This window comes from Homo sapiens, chromosome 15, assembly GCF_000001405.40.
Source record: "Homo sapiens chromosome 15, GRCh38.p14 Primary Assembly".
Lineage (NCBI taxonomy): Eukaryota > Metazoa > Chordata > Mammalia > Primates > Hominidae > Homo > Homo sapiens.
The window spans coordinates 41,211,097-41,238,632 of record NC_000015.10 but is presented as its reverse complement, the minus strand read 5'-3'; the positions used below and the strand labels follow the sequence as shown (position 1 = coordinate 41,238,632).

Below are 27,536 nucleotides of genomic sequence, written 5' to 3'. Positions count from 1 at the left end.
TCCCGACCTCGTGATCCACCCGCCTCAGCCGCCCTAAAGTGCTGGGATTACAGGCATGAGCCACCGTGCCCTGCTATAAACATGTCTTGAATGAAGCTGTATTTTTTCTCCACTGGTATGGGTATATAATCATTTTAAATTGTTAAAAGATTATTTAAAAGACCCTGTTTGGCTGAGGGCAGTGGCTCATGCCTGTAATCCTAGCACTTTGGGAGGCTAAAGTGGGAGGATCCCTTGACGAAAGGCCAGTTCAAAACTAGCCTGGGCAACAAAGCAAGACTTCATCTCTATAATCAATCAATCAATCATTAGCTGGGCATCGTGGTGCATTCCTGTACGCTGAGCTATTTAGGAGGCAGAGGCAGAAGGACTGTTTCAGCCCAGGAGTTCAAGGTTGTAGTGAGCTATGATCACACCCCTCCACTCCAACCTGGGTGACAGAGTGAGACCCTGTCTCAAAAAAAAAACACACGCCAAAAAAACAAAAAAAGACCCTGTTAACGTTGCTGAAATCTTTCTATCATCACTGCATTGTGCAAAGAGGAGGAAGGCATTTCACAGAAGTGCGAAGCAGAAGTGGCAGAGGAAAGAATAAAAACAAAAAGGGAGTAAGAAAAAGTTATTTTGGAGGGCCAGGCATGGTGGCTCATGCCTGTAATCCTAGCACTTTTGGGAGGTGGGTGGATTACGAGGTCAAGAGATCAAGATCATCCTGGCCAACATGGGGAAACCCCATCTCTACTAAAAATACAAAAATTAGCCGGGCATGGTGGCACGTGCCTATAGTCCCAGCTACTCAGGAGGCTGAGGCGGGAGAATCCCTTGAACCCGGGAGGCGGGATTGCACCACTGCACTCCAGCCTGGTGACAGAACGAGACTCCATCTCAAAAAAAAAGAAAAGAAAAAGTTATTTTGTCCTTGCCTTTATTCCAAATCTTAATGCAGAAGAACAGACTGATAACCTATGTAAAGATTACAAGTACAGCTAAAGGTAGCTCTAGATAAAGGAAAGTTGAAGCCTGCGCTTCCCGGAATAGACTACACCTTAACATTCCCCCTGACATGAAGACTTCAAGCCCTGGACTAGTCTCTTAGGGATTAAGAGAGATTTTAAAACATTATATAAAACAAACAAAATCTATCTTCTTATAATTGGAGAAATTTGAATAGGAAGTGAATGATAGATAATATTAAGGTGGCTCACGTCTATAATCCTAGCCCTTTGGGAGGCTGAGGCAGGCAGATCATCTGAGGTTAGGAGTTCGAGACCAGCCTGGCCAACATGGTAAAACCTCGTATCTACTAAAAATAAAAACAATTAGCCAGGCGTGGTGGCACATGCCTGTAATCCCAGCTACTTGGGAGGCTGAGGCAGGAGAATCATTTGAAGCCAGGAGGCGGAGGTTGCAGTGAGCTGAGATCGCGCCACTGCACTCCAGCCTGGGCGACAAAAGTGAAACTCCATCTCAATTAAAAAAAAAAAAAGAAAAAGAAAAAAAGGGGCCAGGTGCGGTGGCTCACGCCTGTAATCCCAGCACTTTGGGAGGCTGAAGTGGGTGGATCACCTGAGGTCAGGAGTTCGAGACCAGCCTGGCCAACGTGGCGAAACCCCATCTCTACTAAAAATACAAAAAATTAGCCAGGCCTGGTGGCAGGCACCTGTAATCCCAGCTACTTGGGAAGCTGAGGCAAGAGAATGGCTTGAACCCAGGAGGCAGAGGTTGCAGTGAGCTGAGATCGAGTCACTGCACTCCAGCCTGGGCAACAAGAGCAAGACTCTGTCTCAAAAAAAAAAAAAAGATAGTATTAAGAAGTATTATCAACTTTCTTAGGTGTGATAATAGTATTGTTGTTACGTAAAAACCATCCCAATACTTAAGGGATACATGCAGAAGTATGAAGGGGTAAAGAGTTCCAATACCTGCAACTTTCAAATGGTTTATCCAGAAATTTACAAAAATAAAGCTTATATCTTCGCAGCTGCTGCTGGGGTCAATTATCTTCTGAATGAATAAACCTCCAACTACTCTCTGGTCTGGACCACCATCCCCTCCTTGCCCCCGCAAAAAAGTTCCTGGCCAGTGGCTCACCTCTGTAATCGCAGCACTTTGGGGGACTGGGATGAGCGGACCACCTGAACTCAGGAGTTCAAGACCAGCCTGGGCAACATGGTGAAACCCTATCTCTACAAAAAATTAAAAAATTAGCCAGGCGTGGTGGCATGTGCCTGTAGTCCCAGCTACTCAGGAGGCTGAGCTGGGAGGATTGCTTGAGCCCAGAAGCTTGAGGCTGCAGTGAGCCGTGATCATGCCATTGCACTCCAGCCTGGATGACAGAGCAAGACCCTGTCTGAAAAAATAAATAAATAAAAATTAAAAATCAGGTAGTTGCCAGGCACAGTGGCTCACATCTATAATCCCAGTACTTTGAAAGTCTGGGGTGGAAGGATCATTTGAGGCCAGGAGTTTGAGGCTGCAATGAGCTATGATTGCACCACTGCACTCCAGCCTGGGCAACAGAGTGAGACCCTGTCTCAAAAAAAAAAAAAAAAAGTTCTTAGGGTCTCTTTCCCACAATGCCCTCTCTAATTGACAAATAGTTGCTTCTTACTCCTTTATGGCAACAAATGAGAATAAAACTTTGCACTAGAACTCAAAAAGTACAGAGCTTTACAAATCACTTAACCCAAAACCAGTTAAAGGTGTTAGTTATCCATGCATTTCCATTTCAATAGGAGGCAGAAGACAGCCTGGTTTTCTGAAGTGACAGAACCTTCAGGCTGGTGAGGGCTGTGAAGGGTCCTACATTTGGAGGCACGAGAAACCTGAAGTTGAATTTCTACTTACATTCTAGCCATGATATTGTTCTCAAGCAATTGCCTTTGCCAGGCTTGTACTCTGTTAGAACTCTATCATTACTACACTCTTTCAAACAAACAAAACCTTACCAACCTGTGCAACTTACTTCCTAAACCTGTTCAACACCCTTCCCGTACCACATGACATATACCAAAAGGTAGAGACTAAAAATAATCTGCATTCATTACTACTTGAATGGCATGAATTGTTTATCAAGGTGTTTTTGTGGTTGTTGTTTGTTTTTGTTTTTTTTTGAGACAGGGTCTGTTTCTCCCAGGCCAGAGTGCAGTGGCACGAACATGGCTCACTGCAGCCTTGACCTCCCGCCTAAGCAATCCTCCCACCTCAGCCTCCTGAGTAGCTGGGACTGCAGGCACGCTTCACCATGTCCAGCTAATTTTTTTTAAATTTATTTTTTTGTAGAGATGGGGTTTCCCTATGTTGCCCAGGCTGGTCTTGAACTCCTGGGCTCAAGCGATCTGCCACCTTGGCCTCCCAAAGTGCTGGAACTACAGGTGTGAGCCACTGCGCCTGGCCTCATAAAGTTTTAAGTAATTCACAGCCAGCTTATTGCTACAATTAAGTGAATTAAGGGTGATGATTACAGAAACTCCTAAGACATTTGTGGCTTTATCCCCGATTACACCTTTTTTTCAAATAAGCTTTATGAAAATGCAGAAGTCTGAAAGAAGGTAGTAGAACAAAGATAATTTAGCAAATATGCCAATAGAAAGCATTTCTTAGACAATTCCTGTTAAAACATCATAACAGTTTCATAAACTGTTAAAAACTCCTTTAAAAATTTTATTTCCTTATAATTGGCAAAACATCTGTACTTAATTCCTAATCAACTGTCCACTACAAAAAGAAGTATAAAATGCTGTCACCTCCCCAATGATATAGCCCTACACATAGTTTTTATAACTAGTACATGCAAATGGTATTTTCCCAATAAGACGATTGTTAACTATGGTTCAAAATAATAACACTCACATGAAGTTTATTATACCAGACACTATTCTAAGTAGTTTGCATAATTCATCTCATGTAATTGTCGTAAGAATCCTATAAAGTAGGCACTATTATTATTCTAATTTTACAGATGATGAAACTGAGGATCACAGGTAATTCTTATCCAGAATTACTTTTCCAAACACTTACTGTTATTCATTAAATATCAAATACCAGCTAATCTAGTCATGTAGAAATTCTAATCTTTTTAAATTTGCAAAAAATATGGTTAAATATAATCATCAAATTCCAATGCACAGCTTTTGCACTGAATATAAATTTAGTATTCCTCAATTATGTTACATTTTGTACTGGCAAAGGAAGTAGTAAAATGTCTTATAATTGTTCTTAAAGTGCTTCTGATAGATAGTTTTCCAAATTCTTCATAGAAGAAAAGGCAGATGAAAATGGGACAAATTCCACCTCTCTACCCACTCCAGATATCCGTTTTTATTCTTCAAAATCTTTTGCATCATACCAAATTACTCCTTGAAAAAACAACTCTGGGCTTGGCGCAGTGGCTCACACCTGTAATCCCCGTGCTTTGGGAGGTTGAAGTGGCCTAAGAATCACTTGAGGCCAGGAGTTTATGACCAGCCTCGACAAAATAACAAGACTCCATCTCTACAAAAGATAAAAATAAAAATCAGGTAAGCATGGTGGTATGCGCCTGTAGTCCTAGCTACTTGGGACGCTGAAGCGGGAGGATGGCTTAAGCCCAGGAGTTTAAGGCTTGCAGTGAGCTATGCTCAAGCCACTGCAGTCCGGCCTGGGAGACAGAGCAAAGACCCTGTCTCTAAAATAAAGAAAAAGAAAAAGAAAAAACAACTCTGATGATGGACACTATTTGGATAAACTGATGGTTCCCAGGGCAAAGGAATGACTTTGTAGCAGGCTTAGGGGGAGATCTCTCCTGGAAGTCACCCAAAATGCCCTAGGTTAATCTATCCAAATCTACTCCACCCATGTATCAAGGCCCAATTCCTGTCCTCCATGAGGACAGCCCACAAGGACTCTCTCTCTTGCCTGATTTCTGAAGGTGGATGACACACAATTCTCAGCTTTCTTATGTCATGATGCTAATCATAACTCTCTTGGGCTTATCTCCCCAACCAGGTTGGGGGCGTTTTTTGTCACCATCTGCTCTGAGTACCTAGCACAGTACTGAACAGACACTGTAAAAATTCAGTAAGCACTTGTTTCACTAAGCATTCTGGCTCAATACATACATTTGCACTGGTTGTGGAGAGAATCTCCCTCACAAGTGACTCACTCTTTGGCAATGGGGAAAACAGCTTTTCCATGAGCACTTAGTTGTTTGTCCACAAGCCACATGGTAAAAATATCCCATCCAGGTCATTTCCATTTGGTCAAATGTATATAAACCAGAATGGGATTACTGCTCCCTTCATTCTGAAGCAAAAATGGCTTTTTGCATCTTCACTATGGTTTACACTTTCTCATTATGTGACTCTATATTTATTTCTCTTTGATTCTGCTTATTTCTCCATGTGACTCTTTAACACAAATACTTTAATTCGGTGTCACCCTAGACCTAAAGTAGTACTAATTACAAATGTGGCCAGAAGTTATGGCCACAAAACGTAATAAAATGCTTGTTGAATCCAAACTGCTTGCGTCTCCACTCCGAGGGTCAGAGTAAGTCAGTGGCCAAACAAGTACTGCAAATTATAAAGAGCTAACTACTTTGGGTCATTCAAATCGTGAAAAGGACTGCCTTGGTAGGTGGAGAGGTTACCATCATTAAATGTCTTTACAGAGAGGCTTAAGGGCCATATTTTAGGGGAGGCTGAAAGAAGCAAACCAGTCCAGAAAGGGGTGGGGCTAGAAAACATCCCTTCCAACTTGAAAACTCCAGAAAGTTGAACTTGTCACAAAGCAGAGAACAGCACTTAAACAGGCCTGAAAAATTCTGTAGTTCCCCATAGCACTCCTCAGTACTATCTGCATATGGGCCGGAGTGAGTTACTGGTCATGTCATTATCAAAGACAAGTATGATGAAGAGACAGAGCTCAGGTGCTACATCCTTCATTAACTCAATAAGAATCATAAAGGTTTACTGAAAAGATAAAATATTGTATGCATCAATACAATTGTATCATACATTGCATTATCAAGGACTATTCAAAGTTATGATGGTATTTTACAGCGCTTCAGAATCCCGAGTCCTTTTGCTCCTTTGTTCAGACTAATGAGGAAGAGACTGGACTATAAAAAAAAAAATCAGTTCTGCAGGGCACGGTGGCTCACACCTGTAATCCCAGCACTTTGGGAGGCCGAGGTGGGTGGATCACTTGAGGTCAGGAGTTCGAGGCCAGCCGGGCCAACATAGTGAAACCCCATCTCTACCAAAAATACAAAAATTAGCCAAGCGTGGTGGCAGGCACCTGTACTCCCAGCTACCTGGGAGGCTGAGGCAGGAGAACTGCTTGAACCTGGGAGGCGGAAGTTGCAGTGTGCCGAGATCACGCCACTGCACTCCAGCCTGGTTGACAGAGGGAGACTCCGTTTCAAAAAAAAAAAAAAAAAAAATCAGTTCCTAGTACAAATTCACACGGAGATTTTTGGAGCACATCCAATTTCAATAGCGAATAAAAAAGTACACCAGCATAGTAGAAATCAATACATATATGAGATTAGGACAGCAAGTATCGTCGTGTAAGTAAAAAACTGGTGGTCACAGTATCCGTGTTTTTTCTCTAGAAGTTCAGATTGAAAGAAGTCTCACAATCCCAGACCCCTGATTGTTTAAAGGTCTCCAGGCATCGGGTCATGTCTCCCAAAGCCTTACTACACGGTCTTGCTTTCTGGGTGGTTTTCCCAATTTGTGACAAGAACTTGTTTGTAATTTCCCATAGTTGTCAGAGGTTTTAGGTCCTTACCCAGAAACGGATTTTCTACAGAATCCATCTCGAGTTCCTGAATTTGCTTCTCGGGCTTTACCTACTGTTCAGGATGCCTCTTCATAGGGAAGGGTGGTGCGAGGCAACAGAAAGGAAAGGAGTTCGGGGACTTTGATGGGCAGGGTGCAGAAAAGGGGGGCGTCGACGCTCTACGAGTGATCAAGAGTCCCGATTTTGAAGGGAAGGACAGCCCCACAGTAGCTAGAGCCCCGCTCCAGGAAGCTGCAGCTGGAAGAACAGGTCTTCCAGCTCTCGGTCCCCAAACCTGGAGGCTGCCCAGGACCCCCCAACCTCACAGGCACCCGAGCTCCAGACCTTAGCGACAGCCGCCCTTGGTTGTGAGGCCAGCCTGAGGCGCCCGGCGTTCCCACCCCCAACCCGAACTCACAGCCGGTCTCCTTCTTGATCTCCTCGAGCTCTTCGTCCCGCAGTAACGTGGAGGCCCGAGAACCCATCGCCGTGCCGGGAGCTCCTCCGGGAGCAGCGGCGCCAGAAGAGACGGCGACAGGAGGGAAGGAGGGAGGGAAGGAAGGGCTAGGGGTCAAGAAGGGAGAGGGCAGTGTTTCCACTGCGGACCCGGGAGGGAACCCAGGGGTGGTGCGCTGGGGAGGGCGGCCCCGAGGACCCGCCAATCAGGCGCGAGGCAGCGCCCGGCTCAGGAGCCAACGTCAGCGTTCGAGTTCCAGCCCCGAATGAATCAGCCCAGCTCCAGCCCAAGTCCTGCTGAAGACGGACCCCGCCCCCGGAACCGCAGCTGCCACCGGCCTTAAAGGGGCGATGCCACTCGGTCGCTAACGACGCAATTAAAAGGGCAACGTCATTGACCAACAGTTTTACAACAAACTAACCTGCGACAGGCAGCGTAGTCTACCTTTTCTCACAGGAATCGAACACTAGGAATCCTACTCGATAGGTGGCACGGATTGCGGAGAGAAACTTCGCGTGGGGGGGAACCCTAGGGTGTACCCTTCGGGGACTGCACGCGCTCTTCATCTTTCCTGGCTGCCGTCCTCCTCCCGGCCGCAGGGGGCGCTGGGGAGCCGGCCTCGGGGCCGCGTGCTGATTGGCTCCTCGGGAAACAGACGAGACTGGACGTTGGGCCGGGCGGGCGTCGCCTCTGCGGCGTGTGTCCCCGGCGTCGCGGACCTTTCTCCAGGTTTTCAGCCTGTGATTTGATAACCGCCGCCGGGTGGCGTGGAGCGTCCCGAGACTTCTTCCTTCATTGCAGCCCCTCTTCTTTTAGTTCTAGACTGAAGTTCGAGGAACGCACCACTTGGCTGAAATTAGGATCCAGATTTCCCAAACTTCCTTCGGAGGAAAAAGCCCTAACGATGGAGGACAGTGAATTCCTAGCTTATGGTCCGCCATTTATTTGAAGTTCCTTATTTTGTCTTAAAAATGAGAAATTTTGCATTTTATTCTCATGGTGTATTGTTTGTTTTGATTAAAAAGGTAGGCCTGGCACGGTGGCTCACGCCTGTAATCCCAGCACTTTGGGAGGCCGAGGTGGGCAGAACACCTGAGGTCGTGAGTTCGAGACCAGCCTGACCAATATGGAGAAACCCCATCTCTAATAAAAATACAAAATTATCCGGGTGTGGTGCCGCGTGCCTGTAATCCCAGCTACTCGGGAGGCTGAGGCAGGAGAATCGCTTGAACCCGGGAGGCGGAGGTTGCAGTGAGCCGAGATCGCGGCATTGCTCTCCAGCCTGGGTGACAGAGCAAGACTCCGTCTCAAAAAAAAAAAAAAAAAAAGGTAAAAGCCACCCGTTAAATTAGTGCCTACTCTCAGGTGAACCAGTTCTTACTGCTTCACCTGCCTTACCCCTTCACACCTGTTTGGTTAGAACACGTATAAGATAAGGAAGAACCGAATTCTGACTGCTGTTAGTACCCAAGTACCAGGATATTTTTGTCGTAGCAGGCTTTCCCAGGTCAACTTAAGTTACTAGTTTTAAGTGTTACCTAAGGCTTTACAGCTTAGCCTGAGGCCCCACACGTTCCCTGCAAGCTGAGGTTCTAGTTTGAAGAACTAGAGTTTTGTTTGTTTGTTGTTGTTGTTGTTGTTTGAGACGGAGTTTTTGCTCTTCTGCCCAGGCTGAAGTGCAAAGGCGCCATCTCAGCTCACCGAAACTTCCGCCTCCCGGGTTCAAGCGATTCTCCTGCCTCAGACTCCCTAGTAGCTGGGGTTACAGGCATGCGCCACCGTGTCCAGCTAATTTTGTATTTTTAGTAGAGACAGGGCTTCTCCATGTTGGTCAGGCTGGTCTCGAACTCCGTATCTCAGGTGATCTGCCCGCTTCAGCCTCCCAAAGTGCTGTGATTACAGGCGTGAGCCACCGCACCTGGCTTGTTTTGTTTTTTTGCGACAGAGTCCGGGCTGGAGTGCAATGGCCTGATCACTGTGCATTTTCGGCTCACTGCAACCTCCAGGCGGGTTCAAGGGATTATCATGCCTCAGCCTCCTGAGTAGCTGGGATTACAGGCGCGTGCCACCACGCCCAGCTAATTTTTGTATTTTTAGTAGAGACAGGGTTTCACCATATTGTCTAGGCGGGTCTCAAACTCCAGAACTCAGGTGATCCACCCGCCTCGGCCTCCCAAAGTGTTGGGATTACAGGCGTGAGTCCCCGTGCCCGGCCTTAGAGTTATTTTTATGATTGTCGTGCACTTGTCTAACCTAGTGATGTTGTCCTTTGTACTCAGTAACATTTTGGATATGCCCGTCTAAGAGCTAAATCACTGGAGCTGCTTTGTATGTTGGAATATGGCTGTGATAGGAAAATTTTGTCAGCCCCATGAATGTCCCTTTTCTCAGTCAGCCTTGAAGCCCATCTCTTGATGCTGACCTTACTTTTTTCCTTCCTAATCTTGAATCTTAGTGTTTGCAGCTGTCTCCAGTCAAAGCTTTCTTTGCTTCATGTTAGTATTTTTTTCTGACTTTAATTTTTTTTTCTTTAATGTTTCTCTAATTCTCTTATTTTCCAGGTGTTTCACAAACTTTCCTTTCTTGGGTACCTTTTAAAAGTATAAATTGCTTGAACCCGGGAGGCAGAGGTTGCAGTGAGCCAAGATAGCGGTACTGCACTCCAGCCTGGCGACAGAGTGAGACTCCATCTCAAAAATAAAATAAAAATAATGTTTGCCTCTATTAAGGGCTGTTTTCTTTTTCCAGTTTTATGTATTTTTCTTTAAAAATTCTCCTTTTGCCTGTTGGATTAACTTAAAGAATGGTTTTTCTTAGACTCTCTGATGACTTGTTTTATGTTCTGTTTGGATGCATAAGACTTGGTCTTGCACTAAACTACAAACATCCTACCCTAGAGGCCTGGTCTTAGTTCAGATTGCATTACCTTCTAGCTGTGTGACTTTGGGCAGGTGTCTTAACCTTCTAAACTTCAGTTTCTTCATTTGTAAATTAGGTTATGGTTGTTATATCAAGTAATATTTGTATAAGCACTTGATAGACCTTAAAATGTAAAAATATAGGTTATTTATTTGACCGAAAATTGTATGTAACATCTCACCTTCTTCCTAGTTGACTTAGGCTCTAGTTATTTCATCAATGTTTTTATGGTTAAATTGCAAAATTCACTGGTTGAATTTTCCTAGTGTGGCAAAAGTATACAGCTTTTAAATTTAAAAAACTATAGAAGAATACTTATCTAAGTTTCTAAATACAAGGACATCTAAATAACAGAATAGTTCTAAATTAACTTTTAAAAAATTACTGTATTATGGTAAAGAATGTAAGAGTACCGCCTTCTTTTGTTTTGTTTTGTTTTTTGAGACAGAGTTTCACTCTTGTCTCCCAGGCTGGAGTGCAATGGCGCGATCTTGGCTCACTGCAACCTCCACCTCCTGGGTTCAAGTGATTCTCCTGCCTCAGCCTCCTGAGTAGCTAGGATTACAGGTGTGCGTCACTACAGCTGGCTAATTTTTGTGTTTTTAGTAGAGACGGGGTTTCACCATGTTGGTCAGGCTGGTCTCGAACTCCTGACCTCAGGTGATCTGCCTGTCTTGGCCTCCTAAAGTGCTAGGATTACTGGCATAAGCCACTGCACCCAGTGGTGAGTACCCACTATGAATAATATTTCTTAGTACATTTTTTCTTTACTTTGTACATTTCTATATGGTTGTAATTCTTTTTTTTTTTTTTTTTGAGACAGTGTTGCTCTGTCGCACAGGCTGGAGTACAGTGGCGCGATCTCTAAATCTCGGCTCACTGCAACCTCTGCCTCCCGGGTTCAAGTGATTCTCCTGCCTCAGCCTTCCTGAATAGCTGGGATTACAGGCATACGCCACCACACCCGGCTAATTTTGTATTTTTAGTAAAGACAGGGTTTCTCCATGTTGGTCAGGCTGGTCTGGAACTCCCGACCTCAGATTATCTGCCCACCTCGGCCTCCCAAAGTGGTGGGATTACAGGCATGAGCCACTGCGCCCGGCCAATTTGGCTTTTATTTTAAAATACCTTTAGCGTAGAACTGTCATAGGACAGAAAATAAAAAAATACACAGAAATGGAACATTTCAAGTACCTAGACATAAAAATTAATAGGATAGCATAGACCCAAGTTATGGGAAACTGTCTCTAAAATTCAATTCATTAAACACAAGTTGAAAGAAAAGTTCTTTTCCCAATGTACCACTATTGTCCTACTTGCCTTGATTTCCTTTAATTCCTAAGTAAAGGGTAAATTTAGTTGCTTTACTTAAAATTATCAGCTTCAGTTTTAGCAAAAATTACCATGCCCTTAAATTCTCAACCAGAGTTATAAAAAATAGCAGCTCAGGTAGTTATGCTGCCCTAAACAATTTATTGCAACATGTATTGGCAAATATTTCTATGTATGTCAATTTTTTTCATTTGCTCTTTTCATTTTTTTGTTATAATGATGTATAAATGTGCCATTAAAAAGCCTCTAAATGTTCTGCTTCTTCCATTTAGCTAAGGAAGGAAAGATGATATCATGCCCATTTTATAAACAAAGAAGCCAAGCCTAACTTGCCCAATTTCTTATAGTTTTCAGTTTCCTATGTATGAGAGTTGGTGCTTGCAATGATCCTTTTCTCATCATTCCAAAAAGATGAACAAAACTGAATTATTCAGATTTTATTCTTGTCCATTACAGATATGGGGAAAGGGAAAATAACTTTACTCCCAAAAAATCTTTTAAAATTCATAGATCTCTTTATTAATTTTCAAGTGTTTGGATGCTTAAAGAAGATTATTTGAAGACGGCTTTTGGAATCAATTAGCATGGACCCCAGCAGTGACTACCATTTCCTCAGCCAGATTTTGTGGAAGAGGGTGAAACTCACATTGGTCTGTGGTGTCTTCGAGGGTGTGCTTCAGCATGTTGACCCTAATAAGATTGTTGTCCTGAAGAAAGGTCTTGTTCTATTTCTTATAATGTTCTGCCTTTTAAGAGATTAGTGATTGACTTTCAGTGGGCTCCATTAGTGATTGGGAGGGTGGCATTATTCCTATTTTAGGTAAAGTGTGGGAGGAAGGTTAGAATATTGTTTTCCCAAACAGAACAATGTGACTGAATATGCTGGTTTGTCCCTACTTTTTTTTTTTGAGATGGAGTCTCGCTCTGTTGCCCAGGCTGGAGTGCAGTGGCGTGATCATGGCTCACTGCAAGCTCTGCCTCCCGGGTTCACACCATTCTCCTGCCTCAGCCTCCCGAGTAGCTGGGACTACAGACACCCGCCACCACTCCCAGCAAATTTTTTGTATTTTTAGTAGAGACAGGGTTTCACCGTGTTAGCCAGGATGGTCTCGATCTCCTGACCTCGTGATCCGCCTGCCTTGGCCTCCCAAAGTTCTGCGATTACAGGTGTGAGCCACCATGCCGAGCCTGGTGTGTCCCTGCTTTTGATATGATAGCAGGAATTTTCAATATAAAAAGGTTTTTTTTGTTTTGTTTTGTTTTGTTTTGTTTTTTGAGATGTTGTCTTGCTCCATCCCCCAGGCTGGAGTGCAGTGGCGTGATAGCTCACCGCAACCTCCGCCTCCCAAGTTCAAGTGATTCTCCTGCCTCAGCCTCCCGAGTGGCTGGAATTACGGGCACACACCACCATGCCTATCTAATTTTTGTATTTTTAGTACAAAAAATACAAAAACACAGCCTGTTGGCCAGGCTGGTCTCAAACTCCGGACCTCAGGTGATCCACCCACCTCGGTCCCCCAAAGTGCTGGGATTATAGGCATGAGCCACCGCTCCCGGCCTTTTTTTTTTTTTCTGAGAATGAGTCTCGTTCTTGTTGCCCAGGCTAGAGTGCAGTGGCGCGATCTTGGCTCACTGCAACCTCTGCCTCCCAGGTTCAAGCAAGTCTCCTGCCTCAGCCTCCCAAGTAGCTGGGGTTACAGGCACCCATCACCAAGTCTGGCTAATTTTTGTATTTTTAGTAGTGGCAGAGTTTCACTGTGTTGGCCAGGCCGGTCTCAAAGTCCTGACTTCAGTTGATCCGCCCACCTTGGCCTCCCAAAGTGCTGGGATTACAGGCTTGAGCCACTATGCTGGCCCTTTAATTTCTTTCCATATGCATTTGAAATTAAAAATAACCACCACATTAGTTAGAATTGTTTTTGACTTCAGCAGTTGAGTTCATACAGTAAGGGGTTAAATTTTTTCTTACAAAAAGTAAAGAGGTAGGCAGCTGAAGAACAGTGCAATGGCTGAAAGACACCAGCAGGAACCAGGTGCCTTTTGCCCCTGCTCTGCCATGTCAGTGATCATCTGTTATCCTCATGGTCACCAGGTAGCCTCTACAACTCTCAGCTTCAATTCCAGTTATCATAAAGGATAAAGCTCAAGAACAGGCAAATGCAAAAGAAACATAGGGCTATCCTTTTTTTTTTAAGACAAAGTCATGCTCTGTTATCCAGGCTGGATTGCAATGGTATGGTGTGATCACGGCTCGCTGCAGCCTTAACTTCCCAGGGTCAAGTGATCCTCCCACCTCAGCCTCCTGAGTAGCTGGGACTACACTTATGTAACACCTCACCTGGCTAGTTTTTTTAATCTTTATTTTTTTGTAGAAATGGGGTCTCCCTGTGTTGCCCAGGCTGGTCTTAAATTCCAGGGCTTAAGTGATCCTACTTGGCCTCCCAAAATGCTAGGTTTATAGGTGTGAGCCACCATGCCCAGCCAGGACAACCTTAAATCTTACAACTTGCAGCTGCATCCAATGAAATAGCTTCGTGTTAATATTTTTTTTCTGATTTAATGTTTCTTTTTTTTATGGGGGAAGGGAAACAGAATTTCCATGTCATCTTTGGTTGTGCTACCCTGCCAGTACCTCCATATCTGCCAATCTGGAAGCTTCAATATATAGAGTTTCCTGGCATGATAAGTTTCAAGTTCATCATTGAAACATGTATAAATGGCATTTGAGAGATTAATGTTATGAAACCAAATTTTGAGTTAAAACAGACTTTTATGGGCTAGGATGGGATTGTAACAGGTTTCTGCAACATTAATTCATTTAGTAATCATGTATTGATTGTTTTATATCTCAGGAACTACGCTTGGTACCACGGACACATACAGAAATAAGGTGGTTCCTGTTCTCAAAAAACTTAGTCTAGGGGCTGGGCGCAGTGGCTCACGCCTGTAATCCCAGCACTTTAGGAGGCTGAGGCTGGTGGATCACCTGAGGTCAGGAGTTTGAAACCAGCCTGGGCAACATGGTAAACCCTGTCTCTACTAAAAATACAAAATTAGCCGGGCATGGTGGCGGGCACCTGTAATCCCAGCTACTTGGGAGACTGAGGCAGGAGAATGGCTTGAACCTGGGAGGCGGAGGTTGCAGTGAGAACTTAGTCTAACCTATAGTCCCAGCTACCTGGGAGGGTAAGGCAGTATTGCTTGAGGCCAGGAGTTTAAGGCCAGCCGAGGCAGCATAGCAAAACCACATCTGTAGAAAAATTATTTTTAATTAATTAATTTTTTCTTTTTTTTTGAAACAGAGTCTCGCTGTGTCACCCAGGCTGGAGTGCAGTGGTGCAATCTTGGCTCACTGGAACCTTTGCCTCCCGGGTTCAAGCCATTCTCCTGCCTCAGACTCCCAAGTAGCTGGGACTACAGGCGCCCGCCACCACGCCCGGCTGATTTTTCTTTTGTATTTTTAGTAGAGACGTGGTTTCACTATGTTGGCCAGGGTGGTCTTGAACTCCTGACCTCGTGATCCTCCTGCCTCGGCCTCCCAAAGTGCTGGGATTACAGACATGAGCCAATGTGCCAGGCCTATTTTTTCTTATTTTTTTAAAATTGAGATGGGGTCTCACTATGTTGCCTGGGCTTGTCTCCAGCTTCTGGGCTCAAGTGATCCTCCCACCTCAGCCTCCCAAAGTGCTGGGATTATAGGCATGAGCCACCACACCCAGCCCCGAAAAAAAATTTTTTTTGACACAGAGTCTTGCTCTGTCATTCAGCCTGGAGTGCAGTGGGACTATCATGGCTCATTGCAACCTTGACCTCCTGGGCACAAGTGATTTTCCTGCTTCAGCCTCCCAAATAGCTGGGACTACAGGCATGTGCCACCAAGACCAGCTAATTTTTTAAATATTTTGTAGAGATGGGGTCTCCCTGTGTTGCTCAGGCTGGTCTTGAACTCCTGGGCTCAAGCAGTTCTCCCACTCAGCCTCCAAAGTGCTGGAATTAGAAGTGTGAGCCACCACATCCAGCCTAAAAAACAATTTTATTTTTAATTAGCCAGTCGTGGTGGCTCACACCTGTAGTCTCAGCTATTCGGAGGCTGTAGTGGGTGGATCACTTAAGCCCAGGAGTTCGAGGCTGCAGTGAGCTATGATTGTGCTCCTGCACTCCAGCCTGGGCAACAGCACAAGACCCCACCTCTAAAAAAAATTTTTTTTTTTTTTTTTTTTTTTTTGAGACAGAGTCTCAGTCTGTCCTCACGCTGGAGTGCAGTGGCTCAATCTTGATTCACTGGAACCTCTGCCTCCCGAGTTCAAGCAATTCTCCTGCCTCAGCCTCCCGAGTAGCTGGGACTACAGGCGTGTGCCACCACACCCAGCTAATTTTTGTATTTTATTAGAGACAGGGTTTCACCATGTTGGCCAGGATGGTCTCAATCTCTTGACCTTGTGATCCTTCCGCCTCAGCCTCCCAAAGTGCTGAGATTATAGCCGTGAGTCACCGCGTCCAGCAAAAAAAAAAAAAAAAAAATTTAAATAAAAACTTACTATAATAAATAGACAAATAGGTAGACAGGTATAATGGAGTGTGAGATCCTCTCTGATAGAAAGATGCAAAGGATGCTATAAAAACATAAAAGATTCAACTAATTCGTACCTAGAAGTGCTTGAATTAGGAAAGTGGAGTGATCTCCTAAAGGAGGAATTGGTGATGGAACTCCATCTGGTTGAGTAGGAGTTAACAATGGGAAAGCGGCTGGGCGCTGTGGCTCATGCCTATAATCTCAGCACTTTGGGAGGGATCTCGACTCACTGCAACCTCCGCCTCCCAGGTTGAAGTGATTCTCCGGCCTTGGCCTCTGAACAGCTGGGATTACAGGTGCATGCCACCGCACCCAGCTAATTTTTGTATTTTTTAGTAGAGATGGGGTTTCACCATGTTGACCAGGCTGGTCTTGAACTCCTGACCTCAGGTGATCTGCCTGCCTCGGCCTCCCAAAATGCTGGGATTACAGGCATGAGCCACCGTGCCTGGCCCCGTTTGAAAATTCTTTTTTTGTTTTTTTTTCCGAGACGGAGTCTCACTCTGTCGCCCAGTCTGGAGTGTAGTGGCGTGATCTTGGCTCACTGGAACCTCTGACGCCTGGGTTCAAGCAATTCTTCTACCTCAGCCTCCCACGTAGTTGGGATTACAGGCACCTGCCACCGCGCCTGGCTAATTTTTGATGTTTTAGTAGAGACAGGGTTTCATGCTCTTGGCCAGGCTGGTCTTGAACTCCTGACCTCATGATCCACCCGCCTCAGCCTCTCAAGTGCTGGAATTACAGGCGTGAACCACCGCGCTTGGCCTTAGTAAGTCTGTTCTTAGTTGAAAATATGAGGGGAGCTGAGAAGAATAGTCCATGCTGGAGAAAAAATGAATGTCAGGACAACTAAGAAGTGGGTATGATCATTCAAAGAGAAGGAAAAAGGATGAGGGACAAAACTCTGGGGACCATCAATGTATGAGGGGCAAGCAGAAGTGTAGAGACAGCTAGGGAGACTGGAAGGAGCAAATCAGGGAGCCACTGTAACAGCAGTTATAAGAAAATGTATTGCCAGGCAGGGTGGCTCACACCTGTAATCCCACGACTTTTGGGAGGCTGAGGTGGAAGGATGGCTTGAGCCCAGGAGTTCGAGACCAGCCTGGGCAACATAGTGAGACCCAGTCTCTACCAAAAAAAAAAGAAAAATAGCCAGGCATGCTGGCACAAGCCTGCAGTCCCAACCACTTGGAAGGCTAAGGCAGGAGGATTGCTTAAACCCAGGTGTTCAAGGCTGCAGTGAGCTAGGATTGTGCCACTGCACTCTAGCCTGTGCAACAGAGTAAGACCCTATCTCAATTAAAAAAATAAAAAAGCATATTAAAATCACTGAGGCCTGAATTTAAATCCTGACTGTTTTTTGCTGGCAGTGGAAACTTGATCTAGTTATTCAAACTTTCTGAGCCTCAGAGTCCTCCATAATTGAGATAATAAAATACTTATTATGTTACTGGAAATTTGAGTATAGGGAAATAGCATGATGCCTGGCTCAGAGTGGGTACTCAATATGGTAGCTCTAGGTAGTTAATAGGAAAAGAACTAAACATGATGTCCTGTAACTAAAGAAGAAAGAAGAGGAGGCTGGGCACGGTGGCTTACACCTGTAATCCCAGTACTTTGGGAGGCTGAGGTGGGAGGATCACTTGAGGCCAGGAGTTAAAAAGAAATGAGAGAACAGTATTGTCGAAGGTTGCAGGAAAGTCAAGGAAGATAAGGTTGCAAAACATTTTTTTGGATGTGACAAATAAGTTGTTGGTGATCTTTGATCCTAGTAGGAATATATTCAGTGGAATAGTGAGGGTGGAACTCAATTATTTGGACTGCTGAGAGGTGTGGAAAAAGACAGCTGCTATGAACACTTCCATCTAGGAAAATGACAGCACATTGTGGACATGGCATCTAACCTTCTCCTAACTTCCTTATCTCCTCATAGGAGAGCCAGGATTTGGATCGTTGTCCTTGATAGTACTTTTGAGTGTGTAGCATAACATGAAGCAGGGTGTGGACACTAGAAGTTGTGGGCTGCCTTGGCCGGGTGCGGTGGCTCACACCTGTAATCCCAGCACTTTGGGAGGCTGAGGCAAGCGGATCACAAGGTCAGGAGATCGAGCCAATCCTGGCTAACACGGTGAAACCCCGTCTCTACTAAAATATAAAACGTGGTGGCTCGTGCCTGTAGTCCGAGCTACTCGGGAGGCTGAGGCAGGAGAATTGCTTGAACCTGGGAAGCGGAAGTTGCAGTGAGCCGAGATTGCGCTACTGCACTGCAGCCTACGTGACAGAACGAGACTCCATCTCAAAAAAAAAAAAAAGTTGCAGGCTGCCCTTAAATTTTTTTTCTGGAGTTAAGTGGAGTAAAAATAAATAGAAATATAATTAATAGATAGTTCTTAACCCCAAAGGCCTTAGAATATTCTCAGGAGAATTTTAAATTCAGTGTACTATCCTTTTTAGTTTCTCCTGGACCTTAATGGGGTTTCCCTTGTTTTTTTATACTACTTGTTTAAAGGTCGTAGCTTTGTCATTTATTATTGACTCTTCATTCCTTGGGGGAAGATTTGGATATTTTTTTGGAGTTTTTTTTTTTTTAAATACAACTCAGACTTGGGAAATTTTGAGAGGCATCATATTTTCTTAGAGTTTTAGGAAAATATTTTAATTAACTGAATGAATTGTTTTCTGTAACAGTGAAGAATGTGGAGACAGGTCGAAGTGTCCCAGGAGTGAAGTTGTTTTTTGGGCATGAGATTGTGAATGGTGAGACCCCCATGTTCCTTGAAAATGCTAGTACTGAGATTTCATTCCAATATTTGAAATTGTCTTGTCTTAATGTTGTGCTTATGGATTCTTAAAGTTGGTATTTGAGAATTGATCCTTCTTACTGCTTCTGTGGGTACTCTATGAGTAAAATAGTCTTATAGAATTATAATCATTTTGGTTTTATAATGTCAGGTGTGCTGGTGCTTATCACTACGGACTCGGACCAGCAGGCAGTTAGGAATGTGAACAGGAAGGGATTGTCTTGCTAAGCAAGCTACTTAAAATTCACAGTCCATTCACAATTCCTCATCCAAAACCTTGGGGCCAAATGTCTCAGAATCAAGAATTTTTCTGGAATTTTGGAAAAGGTAACGGAGTATATAGTGTTCATATTACATAACACCTCCAGAAAGTCTGGGCAGTCCTCTATATAATACAACACATTTCTCCAGAGAAATGGGTGGACAGTCATACTAAGTGGAATAAAATCGGACTATAAATAGCATATCTGGTCAAGTTTTGCCACCAAGAGTTACAACAAAATTTTGGTTTTCAGAGATTTTCGGATTTTGGAATGGCAGGAAGCAGCCTTATTCTTTATTTTTGCTAGCACAAACCATTTAGCAAGAGTAAGTACAATTGTTTGCCTGAAAGAGTAGCTGTAGAAGCTCATCAGTGTGCTTCATACATGTCAAGTAGGATAAGAGAAAGCAAGAAATGTTCTTGCTTTCAAGGACTCAGGAGGTTTCTGCTTCTGCCCTTTAAGGAGGAGTACAGATCAGGAGCTGGATAGAAGGGGTGGAGGAATGAGAGCTCTGGGACCTCTTAGGACTGTGCATCTCTCACTCTGGGGCAGATCTGAAGAAAGGAAAGGACTCCTGTAAATGAGAGTTTACTACTGCTTGAAAGATTGCTTTGGTTTGTGAGAAAACAAGCGTTTAGGAGGAAATGAAAATCTTACCAAATTAATGACTGCCAATCCAGAGCCACTTCAGGGAATACAAGTCTGGACAGCTACATATTTCTTTCTCATTGAGTATGCTGTCATGAACACTCTGTCCCTTGAATATTCTTTTATAATGGCAGGGATAGTAGTGGTAGTTGGAGTTCTTAATTGTGTTTTCACTATCAGCCTTTGAAGTGAAACAGAGCTCTGGATTGGAGAAAGCTAGGCTGTGAATGGGTTTGTAGAGAGAAGTGAAGGAATCACTGCTATCACCTCCCCAACTCAGGAGGCTGATGGCTGACCGGCTTTGTGATCTGTATGCACGGAATTCATTGCCTCCTAAATTCTTCTCCAGGGTTTGGCCTTCGTTCATACTTTTTTTTTTTTTTTTTTTGAGACGGATTCTTACTTTGTCGCTAAGGCTGGAGTGCAGTGGTATGATCTTGTCTCACTGCAACCTTTGCCTCTGGGTTTCAAGCAATTCTCCTGCATCATCCTCCCCAGGAGCTGGGATTACAGGTGTGTGCCACCACACCCAGCTAATTTTTTTGTATTTTTAGTAGAAACGGGGTTTCACCATGTTGTCTAGGTTGGTCTCAAACTCCTGACCTCAAATGATTCACCCCCCTCACCCTCCCAAAGTGCTGGGATTACAGGCGTGAGCCACTGCACCCAGCCCAATTGTTGTATTTTTTTAGTAGAGACACAGGGTTTCGCCATGTTGGCCAGGCTGGTCTCGAACTCCTGACCTCAGGTGATCTGCCTGCCTCAGCTTCCCAGAGTGCTGGGATTATAGGCTTTGCTCATAATTTTTAAGCTCAAAGGATAGTCATTTCTGTCTTTGTCCTGTGGCCCAATCAACCATGGAGGAGTTGTCCCCAAAAGTACCTTGGATAAGAATTGTCAAGATGAAGGATAATAATGGCTAATCAGCATTTTTCAGTCAATTTTACCTTTTCTCTGCTCCAGATTCAATACTTCTAGATAGTACAGAGAAAAGAGACTTTTGAAACATAGAGGCTTTTTGCTTGAAAAGTACCTAAACGAGGCCAGATGTGGTGGCTCACGCCTGTAATCCCAGCACTTAGGGAGGCTGAGGCGAGCGGATCAAGAGGTCAAGAGATTGAGACCAGCCTGGCCACAATGGTGAAACCCCGTCTCTACTAAAAATACAAAAGTTAGCTGTGTGTGGTGGCGCATGCCTGTAGTCCCAGGCATGGGACTTGGGAGGCTGAGGCAGGAGTATCACCTGAACCTGGGAGGCGGAGGTTACAGTGAGCTGAGGTCGCACCTCTGCACTCCAGCCTAGGCAACAGTGCGAGACTTCATCTCAAAAAAAAAAAAAAAAAAAGGAAAACCCTCAAACAGCACCCATGTGAAGGAAGGTGCATTAGGATTGGGATGGTGGGAAAGAAATCTCTAGAACTAACTTGAATGACCACAAAGGTACCCTAGAACAAAAAGGGTGAAGGGGATGTATAGAAATGTTCCTAATCCTTCTAAATAACCAAGAAGCTTTGTAGGGATAGAATACTGAGAGTCTTTGGTACTTTAGATGGTCTCTTCTGTTGTATTTATTGCTGGCCAGTAAAAGCCTCCGTGGACTAACATGTCATTTCCAATTATTGTTTGCAGTACATGGTTAAACTAGGGGTGTGTGGGTAGTGGAGTAGTTAATTGATTTCTGATTGGAAACTCTGTTGGAAGCCATTTGGTTATTTTACAGTGGAACTACTAGATGAAGTGGAACAAGGCTCAGTGAGAGCAAAAGCATCTTCTGTTAGGTAAGAAGGAATAATTTTCTTAATTATGATATTTTCCAAATGTGCACATTAGGGTAGAAAGCCTTAACTCTAATTCACCAGCTGCTTAATTCCTTGGCATAAGGAAATAGAAATGAGAAGAAATATATAGGTGTTTTCTTCCATTGTTAGATAGCGCCCTCAAGTCAATGTAAGCAGTGGATGAATGGGTCCTCTAGTTAATGAAGGACCACTGTCCTTAACGTTAATGTGTGGCAAAATCTGTTTTTGGTGTCAACAACAAAGAACAAGTTCACCCAAATATTGTTTCTTGTAAGGATAGTCTACATGCAGAAAGAACCTGGATGGAGAAAATGAAAGTTGAAGACCTAAATGTATGTGAGCCTGCTTCTCCTGCCCCTGAAGCACCAGCTACCTCTCTGCTGAATGACCTCAAGTACAGCCCATCAGGTGAATATAGGGGCTCTGAATTTTCTTTTTTTTTTTGAGATGGAGTTTCGCTCTTGTTGCCCAGGCTGCAGTGCAATGGCGTGATCTCGGCTCACTGCAACCTCCACCTCCTGGATTCAAGCAATTATCCTGCCTCTGCCTCCATAGTAGCTGTGATTACAGGCATGTGCCACCACGCCCAGCTAATTTTGTATTTTTAGTAGAGACGGGGTTTCTCCATGTTGATCAGGCTAGTCTCGAACTCCCGACCTCAGGTGATCCGCCCGCCTTGGCCTCCTAAAGTGTTGTGATTAAAGGCATGAGCCACTGTGCCCAGCCGAGGCTCTGAATTTTCTAGGCTCTCTCTCTCTTTTTTTTTTTTTTAACCAGGTCAGTCAAATTCAACTAGGCTCTCTTTACTGTTTAGAGTTGATGTAACCCTGAATCAAGATTCTCTATGGAATCCTAAGCTGAGCCATTGCTTCTGGGTTCTGAATTAAGATAAAATATTGTGATTCATTTGTTTATTTAATAACTGAGTACATACTGTGTGTGTACTCATAATTATTGGGGTACACTTATTCATTGGGGATTCTGAAATATGGTATCCCTCCCCTTACTGAGCAGCAAACAGATGCTAAATTAGATAAATAAGTAAAATATATACTGTAATAGTGCCAAATGCTAAGGAGGAAAAAAAAGGAAGAGAAGTAGTACGTAGGGAGGGTGGTTTTGCAATTTTAGGGTATTTGAGTTGCAATACAGTAGGAATATATGAGTGTGGCCAAAATTATTGAGAAAGCTATTCTGTTGCTGAGGAAGAGAAATATATCTAATGCAATCCTTGTCTTGTAGAGGAAGAGGAGGTGACATACACAGTCATTAATCAATTCCAGCAGAAGTTTGGTGCTGCGGTAAGTATTGTCCTCAATCATTACTAGTATTGCCTGTATGTAGGTATCATGTCTGTGTGTCATAAATTTCTTTCTTTCTTTTTTTTTTTGAGACGGAGTCTTGCTCTATCGCCCAGGTTGGAGTGCAGTGGACCAATCTTGGCTCACTGCAAGCTCCGCCTCCCAGGTTCACACCCTTCTCCTGCCTCAGCCTCCCGTGTAGCTGGGACTACAGGTGCCCGCCACCACGCCTGGCTAATTTTTTGTATTTTTAGTAAAGACAGTGTTTCACCGTGTTAGCCAGGATGGTCTCGATCTCCTGACCTCGTGATCCACCCGCCTCGGCCTCCCAAAGTGCTGGGATTACAGGCATGAGCCACCACGCTCGGCTGTAAATTTCTTTATTATAAGATTTTTGATTTTTTTTCCTATTAATTCAACAACATATTTGGTGGCTGCTATATGCCTATATGCCAGGCACTGTTCTGAGCTCTTGGGTAAAACCATAATCAAGACAAAGTTCCCGCCCTCAAGGAGCTTATATTCTAATGCAAGACAATAAACAAGTGCTTTTATTTTAGATGGCAGTAAGTGCTGGGAATAAAAATAAAGCATGGTATGGGGACTAGAGTGACAAGGAGGTCCTATTTTATGTGGGATAGACAGAGAAAACATCTCTAGGGAGGTGACATTAGAACAAAGACCTGAGTAAGTAAGGGAGCCATGTAGATATCAAAGTGGAGAACTTAAAGGCTGGGTGCAGTGGCTCACGCCTGTAATCCCAGCACTTTGGGAGGCTGAGGCGGGTGGATCACGAGGTCAGGAGATTGAGACCATCCTGGCTAACACGGTGAAAACCCGTCTCTACTAAAAATACAAAAAAATAGCCGGGCATGCTGGCAGGCGCCTGTAGTCCCAGCTACTCACCAGGCTGGGTCAGGAGAATGGTGTGAACTCGGGAGGCGGAGCTTGCAGTGAGCCGAGATCGTGCCACTGCACTCCAGCCTGGGTGACAGAGCGAGACTCCATCTCAAAAAAAAAAAAGTGAAGAACTTAAAAGTGGAATTAGCAAGTGCAAAGGCCCTGAGGCTGAAATATTCCTGGCTTGTGTGGAGGAACAGCAGGGAGGTCAGTGTGACAGGACCACAGTGAAGAAGAATGGTAGGAGATGGAAGGGGGCAGGAGGCAGTTCACTTAGGGCTTTCTAGACATTGTAAAGATTTTGAGTTTGACTTAAAGCCATTGGCAGTTTCAGAGAAGAGTCAGAATTTTTTTTTTTTTTTGAGATGGAGTCTCGCCTTGTGGCCCAGGCTGGAGTTCGGTGGGGTGATCTTGGCTCACCTCAACCTCCGCCTCCTGGGTTCAAGCGATTCTCCTGGCTCAGCCTCCTGAGTAGCTGGTATTACAGGCATGCACCACCACGCCAGCTAATTTTTGTATTTTTAGTAGTAGAGATGGGGTTTTGCCATGTTGGCCAGGCTGGTCTCAAACTCCTGACCTCAGGTGATCTGCCTATCTCCGCCTCCCAAAGTGCTGGGATTACAGGTGTAAGCCACTGTCCCTGGCCCATGGATGCATTTTTAAAAGGACAGTTAGCTATCAAAAGGTTTTTGTTTTGTTTTGTTTTGTTTTTGAGATGGAGTCTCTTTCGCCCAGGCTGGAGTGCAGTGGCACTATCTCGGCTCACTGCAAGCTCCACCTCCCGGGTTCACGCCATTCTCCTGCCTCAGCCTCCCGAGTAGCTGGGACTACAGGCGCCTGCCACTGCACCCGGCTAATTTTTTGTATTTTTAGTAGAGACGGGGTTTCACCGTGTTAGCCAGGATGGTCAACAACAGGTTGTTTTTTAAGTCTGAACTGAACAGAAGATTTTTATTAAAAAATAGCATTATTGAGATATAATCCACATGCCATACAATTTATTTAGTTAAAATGTACAGCTCATTTTCTTTTAGTGTAGTCACAGAGTTGTAAGTAAAGCAACATAATAAATTTTAGAATATTTTCAGTATACCAGAAAGAAACCCCACACCCCTTATCCATCACTCCTAATCACTCCTCAGCCCTTGGCAACCACTAAAACAGCCTGACCAACATGGCAAAACCCCATCTCTACTAAAAATACAAAAATTAGCCAGGTGTGGTGGTGGGCACTTGTAATCCCAGTTACTGGGGAGGCTGAGTGGGAGGAGGTGGAGGGTACAGTGAGCCGAGATCATGCCACTATACTCCAGCCTGGGAAAGAGTGAGACTCTGTCTCAAAAAACAACAAAACAAAACAAAACAAAACAAAAACTGGCTGGACACGGTGGCTCATGCCTGTAATCCCAGCACTTTGCGAGGCCGAGATGGGTGAATCACAAGGTCAGGAGTTTGAGACCAGCCCGACCAACATGGTGAACACCGTCTCTACTAAAAATACAAAAATTAGCTGGGTGTGGTGGTGCGTGTCTGTAATCCCAGCTACTCAGGAGGCTGAGGCAGGAGAATTGCTTGAACCCAGGAGGCAGAGGTTGCAGTGAGCCAAGATCGTGCCACTGCACTCCAGCCTGGGTGACAGAGTGAGACTCTATCTCAAAAAAAATAAAAATAAAAACAAGTAAATAAATAAAATAATAAAATATGTAGTTTTTTTGACAGGCTTTGTTTACTTAGCATAATGTTTTCAAGGTTCATCCACATTACAGCTTATATCAGTATTTCACTTATTTTTATTGCCAAATAATATTCCTTATAAATTAAAAAAAATTTTTTTGAGACGGGGTCTTGCTCTGTCACCCAGGTTGGAGTGCAGTGGCACAATCAGAGTTCACTGCAGCCTGGACCTCCTGGGCTCAAGCAATCCTCCCACCTTAGCCTCCCAAGTAGGTGGGACTACAGGCATGTGCCACAACACCTAGCTAATTCTTTTATATTTTTTGTAGAGACAACGTCTCGTTATGTTGCCTAAGCTGGTCTCAAACTACTGGGCTCAAGCAATCCACCTGCCTCGGCTTCCCAAAGTGCTGGGATTAGAGGTGTAAGCCACCACAGTCAGCCACCAAATCATATTCTATTGTATGGATATACTACATTTTATTTATCCATTCACCATTTGATGGACATTTGGGTTGTTTCTTCTTTGTGGTTATTGTGAATAATGCTACTATGAACATTCATGGACAAGTTTTTGTGTGGATGATTTTATTTCTCTTAGATAGTTACCTAGGAGTGAAATTGCTAGATCATATGGTAACTCTGTGTTTAACTTTTTTGAGGAACGGCCAGACTTTTTTCCAAAGCTGTTGCACTATTTTACATTTCTACCAGCAGTCTGTGAGGGTTCCAATTTCTTTTTTTTTGAGACGGAGTCTTGCTCTGTCGCCCAGGCTGGAGTGCAGTGGCACCATCTCGGCTCACTGCAAGCTCTGCCTCCCGGGTTCACACCATTCTCCTGCCTCAGCCTCCTGAGTAGCTGGGACTACAGGTGCCCGCCACCACGCCCGGCTTATTTTTTTTTTTTACATTTTTAGTAGAGACGGGGTTTCACCGTGTTAGCCAGGGTGTTCTCGATCTCCTTACCTCGTGATCTGCCCGCCTCAGCCTCCCAAAGTGCTGGGACTACAGGCGTGAGCCACTGTGCCCAGCCGTTCCAATTTCTTTAAATCCTTGCCAACACTTATCTGTAATTTTGAGTATAGCCATCCTAGTGGGTATGAAGTGGTATCTTATTGTGGTTTTGATTTGCATTTCTGTGATGGCTAATGATGTTGAATGTTTCCATGAGCTTACTAGCCGTTTGTATAACTTCTTTGGAGAAATGTCTATTTAGATCCTTTGCCTTTTATTTTTTGAGACAGAGTCTCGCTTAGTAGCCCAGGCTGGAGTGCAGTGGCATGATCTTGGCTCACTGCAACCTCCACCTCCTAGGATCTCTAGCAATCCTCCCACCTCAGCCTCCTGAGTAACTTGGACTATAGGTGTGTACCACCATGCCCAGCTCTTTTTTTTTTTTTTTTTTAAGAAATGAGGTCTTGTTGTGTTCCCCAAGCTGGTCTTGAACTCCTGGACTCAAGCAGTCTGTCTTCCTCGGCCTCCCAAAGTACTGGGATTACAGGCGTGAGCCACTGCGCCCAGCCTTAATTTTTGTATTTTGTGTAGAGACAATTTCTCACTATGTTGCCCTGGCTGGTCTCGAACTCCTGGGCTCAAGCAATCTGTCCTCCTCAGCCTCCTTCACTGCTAGGAATACAGGCATGAGCCACCCTGCCCAAACCTTTTGCTGTTTTTTAATTGAGTTGAAATAATTATTTTTATCATTGAGTTGTAAGTATTATTTATGTATCAACAGATTCTTTAAAGTGTCCGTGACAACAATAAAAAAAAAAATGAGGGTAAGAACTTGTGGCCAGGCGTGGTGGCTCAGTCTTGTAATACCAGCACTTTTGGAGGCCAAGGCAGGCAGATCACTTGAGCCCAGGAGTTACAGACCAGCCTGGGCAACAAGGCAAACCCACCCCTACAAAAAATACAAAAAATTAGCTGGGCATGGTGGCACAGGTCTGTAGTTTCAGCTACCCGGGAGGCTGAGATGAGAGGATCAGCTAAGCCCCGGAGGTCGAAGCTGCAGGAAGCTAAAGTAGGAGGATAGCTTGAGCCCAGGAGTTCATGCCACAGTGAGCTATGATCTGCACTCCAGCCTGGAGGACAGCATGAGACT

The 27,536-nt window shown here is 44.4% G+C and overlaps 2 protein-coding genes across 14 annotated transcripts in view, besides 3 other annotated features; one reads left to right on the top strand and one right to left on the bottom strand.

Moving 5' to 3' along the window:
• The window catches only part of CHP1 (calcineurin like EF-hand protein 1), a 50,620-nt gene extending 43,255 nt beyond the window's left edge, over window positions 1–7,365 (bottom strand). For all 3 annotated transcript variants that reach the window (NM_007236.5, XM_047432125.1, XM_017021879.3), the window contains exon 1: window positions 7,184–7,365. In NM_007236.5, coding sequence (NP_009167.1) covers window positions 7,184–7,250 — 67 coding nt within the window. In that variant the 5' untranslated portion in view covers window positions 7,251–7,365. The remainder of the gene's footprint in view (window positions 1–7,183) is intronic.
• Window positions 7,522–7,581: an enhancer, noted in NCBI's record as "active region_9278". NCBI's record gives its function as "activates an Ori minimal core promoter by ATAC-STARR-seq in GM12878 lymphoblastoid cells {active_cell/tissue: GM12878}" and the evidence as "EXISTENCE:reporter gene assay evidence [ECO:0000049][PMID:35858748]".
• Window positions 7,602–7,671: an enhancer, noted in NCBI's record as "active region_9277". NCBI's record gives its function as "activates an Ori minimal core promoter by ATAC-STARR-seq in GM12878 lymphoblastoid cells {active_cell/tissue: GM12878}" and the evidence as "EXISTENCE:reporter gene assay evidence [ECO:0000049][PMID:35858748]".
• Window positions 7,792–7,851: a silencer, noted in NCBI's record as "silent region_6356". NCBI's record gives its function as "represses an Ori minimal core promoter by ATAC-STARR-seq in GM12878 lymphoblastoid cells {active_cell/tissue: GM12878}" and the evidence as "EXISTENCE:reporter gene assay evidence [ECO:0000049][PMID:35858748]".
• EXD1 (exonuclease 3'-5' domain containing 1) overlaps window positions 7,876–27,536 on the top strand; it is a 48,030-nt gene continuing 28,369 nt past the window's right edge. Inside the window, exons 1-7 of one of the 11 annotated variants that reach the window (XM_011521298.3) lie at window positions 7,876–7,951; window positions 8,039–8,154; window positions 12,005–12,190; window positions 18,735–18,803; window positions 21,479–21,536; window positions 21,838–21,965; window positions 22,800–22,858. In XM_011521298.3, coding sequence (XP_011519600.1) covers window positions 12,058–12,190; window positions 18,735–18,803; window positions 21,479–21,536; window positions 21,838–21,965; window positions 22,800–22,858 — 447 coding nt within the window. In that variant the 5' untranslated portion in view covers window positions 7,876–7,951; window positions 8,039–8,154; window positions 12,005–12,057. Of the gene's footprint in view, window positions 8,155–12,004; window positions 12,191–18,732; window positions 18,804–18,998; window positions 19,175–21,478; window positions 21,537–21,832; window positions 21,966–22,799; window positions 22,859–27,536 lie in introns of those variants that run through there. The other 10 variants (XM_011521301.3, NM_001286441.2, XM_047432210.1 and 7 more) reach the window with 10 other exon arrangements.